At 46.1% G+C, this 8814-nt stretch overlaps 1 annotated feature.

Annotated features, from left to right (window-relative positions):
- Positions 6241 to 6535: an enhancer, noted in NCBI's record as "tiled region #7415; K562 Activating DNase unmatched - State 12:CtcfO". NCBI's record gives its function as "activates a minimal TATA promoter and a strong SV40 promoter by Sharpr-MPRA in K562 cells {active_cell/tissue: K562}" and the evidence as "EXISTENCE:reporter gene assay evidence [ECO:0000049][PMID:27701403]".

Genomic DNA, 8814 nt, shown 5'->3' with positions numbered 1-8814 from the left:
TGGGATTACAGGCACACGCCACCATCCCTGGCTAATTTTTGTATTTTTAGTAGAGACAAGGTTTCACCATATTGGTCAGGCTGGGGGATAGAGATGTTTCTATTAAATCAGGATACTTGTAGAGTGCTCTGTATGGGTCAGGTGCCGGGGAATGGAGATAGAATAGTGAAAAACCCCACCCTCAAAGAGCTCTTAGTTGACATAAATCACCAGATACAAGGAAACAAGATAAATGCTACTTTAGAGGTATGCACAGCATGCTATGGGACCACAGAGAGGCAGATACTTAACGAAGACTGGGGAAGGCAGAGCTTCCCACAGGTGATAATGTGGGGTAGACGTGAGCCAAGCATGTGCAGGCAGAAAGAACAAAATATGCGAAGACAACTTACTCAGAAGTCTATACACTCAGGTAGGGCTGCCAAGTGAGGATCTTAACCCAGTGTGGGAAGTGAGGCTGGAAAGGTGAACTGCTGACATTTATTCATACATTCACTCAACAAGTATTAATTGAGTGTCCACTATGTGTCAGGTGCTGTTCTAGATATTGGAGAAGCTGCATGAACAAAATAGGAATTGGCTAGGTACAGTGGCTCACACCTGTAATCCCAGCAACTTGGGGGGCCAAGGCAGGAGGGTTGTTTGAGCCCACGAGTTCAAGACCAGTCCGGGCAACATAGCAAGATCCCTTCTCTAAACAAAAATTTTTTTTTTTTTTGAGATGGAGTCTCACTCTGTCGCCCAGGCTGGAGCTCAGTGGTGCAGTCTCAGCTTACTGCAACCTCCGTCTCCGGGTTCAAGCGATTCTCCTGCCTCAGCCTCCTTGAGTAGCTGGGATTACAGGCGCGAGCCACCATGCCCGGCTAATTTTTGTATTTTTAGTACAGACGGGGTTTCACCACGTTGGTCAGGCTGTGCTTGAACTCCTGACCTCATGATCCACCCGCCTCACCCTCACAAAGTGCTGGACTTTACAGGCGTGAGCCACTGTGCCCGGCCAAAAAAAATTTTTTTAAGTAAACCTGGCATGGTGACACACGTACCTGTAGTCCCAGCTACTCAGGAGGCTGAGGTGGGAGAATGGCTTGAGCCCAGGAGGTCAAGGGTGCAATGAGCTATGATAGCACCCTACAGCTTTGGGTGACAGAGAAAGACCCTGTCCCTAAAAAACCAAAAGCAAAACAGGAATTTCTGCCCTCATGGAGATTATACACTATTGCCGGATCATGAAAGTCCAGATAAACCAGTTAGGAATCTTGTAATAATCCAGGTAAAAATGGTGAGCATCAAACTTAGTGTCAAAGGGAAAAGAAGCAGAATTATTTAGGAGGCCGAATTAATGAAACTTGGTGAAAACTAGGTATGGGAAGTGAGCAGGAGTCAAGTTTATCCCAAGTTTCTGGTTTCAATGACCAGATAACTGATGATGCCATTCACTAAATAAATACAATTGGTCCTCTGTATCTGTGGGTTCTGCATCTGCAGATTCAACCAACCATGGATCAAAAATATCTGGGGAAAAAAAAAACACACAAAATAACAGTACAACAACTGGCCGAGCACAGTGGCTCACGCCTGTAATCCCAACATTTTGCAAGGCCAAGGCGGGCAGATCACCTGAGGTCAGGAATTCGAGACCAGTCTAGCCAACATGATGAAACCCCGTCTCTATTAAAAATGCAAAAATTAGTTGGGTATGGTGGTGCATGCCTGTAATCCCAGCTACTCGGGAGGCTGAGGCAGGAGAATCGCTTGAACCCGGGAGGCAGAGGTTGCAGTGAACCGAGATCGAGCCACTGCACTCCAGCCTGGCAACAGATCGAGACTCTGTCTAAAAAAAAGGAAAAAAAAAAAGAAAGGTCTCCCTGCATGTATAGAGAGAAGGTAAGAGGACCAAGGGCAGAACTCAGGAGAACAGCATGGAAGGGAGGTATGGAGAATGCAGAATTATGGAGAAGACAGAGGGATCAGTCAGAGAGGTAGGAAGAAACTCAGGAGAAATGAATCAAGGAGAGAAGCCAGTAGTGGCAGGTGCAGCAGGGAGGCCCGGGAAATAATTCCTGGAAAGCACTGGATTAGCAGCCATTGGTGGCTCAGCAAGAGGAGCTGGAGGAAAATGTTGGAGGTGGAAGTTACTGCACAGCTGGACTTCACAGAACCTGCAATAGAGACACAGTTCTTCTGATCTGTGGGAATTAGGAGTTTGTCTTCAGACTGACATAAAAATGAGGGCTTCAGGCTGGTGCATTGCCTCATGCTTGTAATCCCAGCACTTTGGGAGGCCGAGGTGGGAGGATCACTTGAGCCCAGGAGTTTGAGACCAACCTGGGCAACCAAGTGAGACATCATCTCTATTTTTAAAAACAAGGCCAGGTGCAGTGGCTCACACCTATAATCCTAGCACTTTGGGAGGCCGAGGCGGGCAGATCACTTGAGGTCAGGAGTTTGAGACCAGCCTGGCCAACATGGTGAAACCACATCTTTACTAAAAATACAACAATTAGCCGGGTGTGGTGGTGGGCGCCTGTAATCCCAATACTTGGGAGGCTGAGGCAGGAGAATCACTTGAACCTGGGAGGCAGAGGTTGCTGTGAGCCGAGATCATGCCATTGCACTCCAGCCTGGGCAACAGAGTGAGACTATGCCAAAAAAAAAAAAGAGAGAGAAAAAAGCCACAAGGGCTTCTGAACCAAAGTATAAGAAAAATGAAGGGTAGGAACCGAGATGTCTGGGACTGCCCCATCAAAGATTTTGCTGCCTCTGGCTAGCCAGATGTGAGGCACACTCGAAGAAATGTAAAGCTGAACCCTGTGCTGTCCACTAGGGCAGCTGCCAGCTGCACCAGCCACCCTTGAAATGTGGCTAGTCCAAATTGAGATTATATAAATGTAAATTATGTAACAGATATCAAGGAATTAGTATCAACAAAACCTAAAATAGCTCAGTAAGTGTATATTGATTGCAGATTGAAATAATAACATTTTGGATATACGGCTTAAATAAATGTTAGCATTTAATTTCTTTTTTCTGAGACAGAGTCTCGCTCTGTCGCCCAGGCTGGAGTGCAGTGGTGTGATTTCGGCTCACTGCAACCTCCGCCTCCTGGGTTCAAGCAATTCTCCTGCCTCAGCCTCCCGAATAGCTGGAATGATTACAGGGGCCCGCCACCACACCTGGCTGATTTTTTTGTATTTTTAGTAGAGACGGGGTTTCACCATCTTGGCCAGGCTGGTCTCAAACTCCTGACCTCGTGATGCACCCACCTTGGCCTCCCAAAGTGCTGGGATTACAGGCGTGAGCCACCGCGCCCAACCTCACCTGGATCTTTTTACCTTTTTTTTTAATGTGGCTACTAGAAAATTTAAAATTATGTGTTTGATTCATATTACATTTCTACTGCACAGCACTGGTCTAAGCCCTGCCACAGAATAGGACCTCCACAGCCTGGACATGCCCAGACTCCCAAATGTTCTTTAATCACCTCAGACTCACAATATCCTTCCTAGCTGGAAAACAAATGCCTGAAATCTCCAAGACTGCATTTTTGTTGCACCTCTGTGCCCCATACTGCCAGTCCCATAACCCAGGGCCAAAGATTTCAGTCCTCAAGGCCAGCCACAGTGGCTCACACCAGTAATCCCAACACTTTGGGAGTCTGAAGCAGGAGGATCGCTTGAAGCCAGAAGTTTGAGACCAGGCTGGACAACATAGTGAGACCCCCATCCCTATTTATTTTTTAAAAACTGGAATTTTAAAAAAAGATTTCAGTCCTCAATACCCCATCTTCAGGATTCCCCTGTCGTGGTCCTTCGCGCTTTTTCTTTCCCCAAGTCTGTTGATACTCGCATGACAGCAGAGATGTCCTATTCTAACTTACAAAAGTAGATTTTTTTTTTCCTGGCTTGGAGTCCAGAATCTCTCTCCCAACCCTGAATTTAGAAGCCATGTCTTCTCCCTGTTTCTTTCATTTCTCAACTCCCTCTTTGCCTTTCCTCCTTTCTAAAACTATGTAAATCTTTCGAATTATAAGAAACATGGTATTATGGAAATCACCCAGGCTTTATGTCCCTATATAAACTTCATCTATCTTAAGCCCTCTTTGCAAACTGTGGCTAACACCTGCCTGTTATTGAGAAGATTGAATGAGATCAGATGTGTAAAATGCCTTGTACAAAGCCTGGCACATGGTAGGTACTTGGTAATCTTGAGTTTCCCACTTTTCCTCTTACCTCTGCATATTTGGAGAAGTAGGGAAAGAACCAGGAAAGCCCGGTTCATATGTATGGGCTCACAGAACCTCAAAACCAAAAATGCTCTTAGAGATATATTTCCAGTTACTCATTCAGTAAAGAAATTCCCTGGACCACATCTCTCGTTGGTAGTCATCCAACCTCTGCTTAAACATCTCCAGGGGCCATTCATTGGTTCACTTAATAAGAACAAGGCACTGTGGGAGCCACAAAGAAGGGCTGACACAGATCTTGCTGTTAAGGAGCTTATATATTAGCAAAAAGACAATACAGAGAAATAACCGTAATATAAGGTAAAAGCGATATGTGTCAAATGAGATGCCATGACAGAGAACTAACAACCTTGCAAGTTATTTCATGCTCAAAAAAGGGTAGCTCTAATATTAAAATTCCTCCCAAATCTCAGACCTCAGTTTTCCCTTGCATTTCATGGAACATGGAACAAGATCCTTCCATACTAGGTCATGGGTCATCCTTAAGGAGGACCTGCAATAGCCTTAAAACTCCAGGAGGGAGGCAGGGCGCAATGGCTTACACCTGTAATCCCAGCACTTTGGGAGGCCAAGGCAGGTGGGTCACTTGAGGTCAGGAGTTCGAGACCAGCCTAGGCAACATGGTGAAACCCCATCTCTACCACAGATATAAAAATTAGCCAGGCATGGTGGTGCATGTCTGTAGTCCCAGCTACTTAGGAGGCTTGAGGCAGGAGGATCACTTAAAACCTGGAAGGTCGAGGCTGCAGTGAGCCCTGATCATGCCACTGCACTCTAGCCTGAAAGAGACTCTGTCTTAAAACAAACAAAAACAACTCCAGGAGGAGGGTGTGGAAATGGACATGGAACAGGTGTGGAGAGAACTGGGACTGGCTGCAAGATCCTCCAGCCTCTTCTGTACCACCAAATGATTTCTGGGAGTCCCTAAATGACAGCCTCAGCCTCTACCTACTACCAGCAACTCCTGTCCCCCTAGAAAGCCATGCACATCCCTACTCCCAGGATTTATCCTAATGGTTTTGTCTGTGCTTTTCTCTCCCTCTTCTCCCCATCCCTATCACCTTTTCATCATCTTTTATCAGTATCTCTACAATTTTCTTTGTATCTGTCTCCGCTTCAGTCTGTGCCTCTCATCATTTTGATTTTTTGTTTCTATTATTCTTGGAGTCTTTCTGCTTCTATCTCTGACTCTCTTTCTCTTACTCTCACCATCCTTGATTTCTTGATAGGTTTCCATTTTTCTGTCTCTGGCCTCGTTTTCTCCCCAGCTGCCGCAAAGCCATAAACCTAGCTGGCCCTGCAGCAGGCAGCCGCCAATCAGTGGGCTCCAGGAGTTGAGGGGAGGGGGTCAACAGAGAGATGGGGGGATGGAAAAGCTGAGGCACTGTTGCTATAGCAGGGGAGAGACGAGGTGCAGAAAAGAGATGTCCCTCCCAAAAGGCAGACACAGCTACCTCCACAGACAGTGTCTGGACTCCTTTCCTACAGATAGCAAATGACTGGCCCCCACTTACTGTTGTGAGGCAGGGTACCTGGATCCCTCCCCTGTATTACCCAAACCATGATTTCTCCTCTGAAACCCCTGGCCACAGATCACTAGAGATTTGCCTCCTCCTGCATTCTTAGGCCCTCCCAAGATGAGGGAGCTACAGGGCCTTGAGGGTCCGAAGATCCTGAGACAGATGCTTACATGGACGTTGAGACAGGAAAGAATGGTCAAGACAGGTACAGTGGCAGATGCTGAGATGAGTTGGAGGAAGCACTGAGAGGAGGGAGAGTCCTCCCCAGCCAAGGCTGATCCAGAAGCTTGGGTGTTCCAGGCTTCTTAGCTCCCTGGCCATTCCTGAAGCAGAACTGGCTGCCAGAATCCCTGATCTCTGGTCTAGGTTGGGGTTCAGCAGCTTAGGGTGTTACTTACTGGGCTACTACTACCCAGCTTGTCGTAAGAAACCTACTGGCTCTGTGGGGATAGGAGGAGATAGGAGGGAAAGGCGGGGAAGGCAAGGGATTAATGTAAGATTTTAGAAGAACACAGGAAGAGGAACATTTCCATCCTGTTGGGCCAGGAGACAAACCCAGAAAGTGGTAATTCCTGGTGTGCCGGCGACCCCTGCTGGCTGCACACACCACCGCCTGGGAGATGGGAAGGTGTAGCCAGCCTGTGTGAGTCCAAATGCGTGTTGGATGTGACACTGCACACAACAATGACGGTGCCCATGATTACGTGTGGGCACTCCTGGGTGAAGGCAGTAATGTGACTGAACACAGAAGCCCCAAAGGTCAGGTTCAGAACTTCTGGCTCCCCTCTGGGACTCTGGGTGTCTAGGAAGGATCATTGAGCCCAGCATGTCTCCTGACCAGTGTCACATCAGTAGCAGCATAGATCCACTCAGTGAGGCACTGCTGAGGTCAAAGTAAATGTAACCAGTCCAGGTGTAGGGGAAAGAGTGCAGACTTTGGAATTACACTTACCTGGGTTGAAATCTTGATCCTGTGATTACTAACTGTATGACCTAGAGCAAGTTCCTGAACTTCTTTGAGCCCAATTTCCTCATCTGTAAGAGCATAATAATACCTATCTTAGAGGGTTATTGTGAGTGTTTAGCACAGTGCCTAGCAATAATAAGCATTTAATAGATGCTAATTTTCTGCCTCCCTCTTCCTTTATCAACCTCCCACCCTCAAGGTCAGGCAGGGATTTCAAAAGGCAAATAAACTGGGGATAATGTTGACAATGATGATGGTGGTGGTTTATATTTACACCACTCATGCAAATCATTTTAAACATATTTTTAACACACGGCTTTTTTCCTTTTTATTAGCCAAGCACATCATGATCATGTTTTATTGGGATGGAAATATCCTGATGTTATGGCAGGTATCTAGAAAGATGGCCTTATGAAGTGATAACAAGGCATGACAAATCTTTCTTTCTTGTGATACATTTTCATTACTCAGGTTAATCAGGAATTACCCATTAGAACAAGGGTTTAAGATAAGTACATGACAGTCATCTGTGGAGATCAAAATCTCCTGATTTTCCCAATGGGTATCTAATTGTTATTGCTAATGTAGAGGGACAATTAATGCTTAGATTGAACTGGTATTCAAACATTAGAATAACTCAAGGAGATATGACAGGTAGTTAGAAATAGTATATTCTGAAATTTAAAAGAAAACAGATTTCAATTGCACCAAAGAATATTTTAATCCCTGCAGCTGTCCATCGATAGGGGCAGACTGCTTATTAAGAGCTCCATTTTAGCAGGAGTACTGAAGCTGAAGCTGGCTGGCTCCCCAGCAGGCTGACTGTGAAAGAGATTCAGGCTGCAGAGGGAGATTGGATAAGAGGCCTTCTGAGCTTCCTCCACAAACACACTCAAGTGCATGATGAATACTTAGCTCGGTAGAAGTGTCGCTCCAAACGGCATTACTGCCATACCCATAGTAACTGTTTGTCACCATGAGTCGGGGTAAGGGCGTAGTAATAATAACAATGGTGTTCTTTTCCTCTCTGAGATTTTGTTCTCCCAAAAGAGAGGAAAGAGTCCAGAATCATTCCCCCACTAACCATCCCCACGTTTTTCTTGATTTTGTCTGATTCATCTTTGTCTTGGCTTCATAGTATCCATCTTCAAGTATTTTAAAGAAAACCTTACTTAAGGAAAGAGCTTTTTTTATCCTTTAGTTTCCTGCCTATAGGAGGTGGGCAGGCAATGAGGATGGGAAGAGGGAACAAACATTTGCTGAGTTCCTATTAAGTGTAGACTTTGTAATTTTTGCATTTGATTAAGAGAGGTGTGTATGTGCTTTCATGCAAGTAAGTGTATGTATGTATATGTATTCCTGCAAGTGTATGTATATATTGTTTTGTATCTGTGGATGTAAATGTGGATGAATCTGAAGGAATTCTCTGCTGTTCAAGCCTCTCTGAACAAGGGTCTGGGGTCTTGGTGTCTAGCTTAGTACAGGGAAATCTGTATGCAGCTCCTCTGAGGATTTCAATATCTTCTGTGTGTACAGACTACCCGGGAGTTAGTTCTTCTGGCTCCAGGATCTTTGTGCAGGATCCCAGGTTTGTCTGTCCCCATCCTGCACACAAGTGTGTTGACATATCAAGACTCCTCCACCTCCTTGCTTTCCTGTGTGCATCACAGTGTGTGCAGATCCATTTGTCCAACCAGCCCCACGTGAAGCCATGTGTGTCCAGCAGTCCCTCCTCCCAAGGAGGACTCTGTGAAGAGTCCTTGGCACCCTCCCCTCCTGGCCACCCCCACTCCCCACTTTCCATGCCAGGAGAGATCTAATTACACAGAAATTAGTACAGAAAAGGATCGTTTCCTTTTATTGCATCAGTACCGGGGCAGCTATAAATCTGGAGCCACCGCTGCAGCCGCCTCTGGGCACTGTGCAGGCTATGGGGGGCTCTCACCTCCACACCTTCCTTTTCTCCTGGGCCTCTACCCCTGCCCAGGACCTGAGAACTCTATTAGGTACCCATCTCAGTAGGGGAAGTGGAGAAAGGGGAGGGTGGGGTCAATCAAAAGAAGACACATAGTAGATGCTTAATA

Source organism: Homo sapiens, chromosome 12 (genome assembly GCF_000001405.40).
Source record: "Homo sapiens chromosome 12, GRCh38.p14 Primary Assembly".
Lineage (NCBI taxonomy): Eukaryota > Metazoa > Chordata > Mammalia > Primates > Hominidae > Homo > Homo sapiens.
Note: the sequence above shows the minus strand (reverse complement) of the source record. Positions and strands in the feature narration are given on the sequence as shown.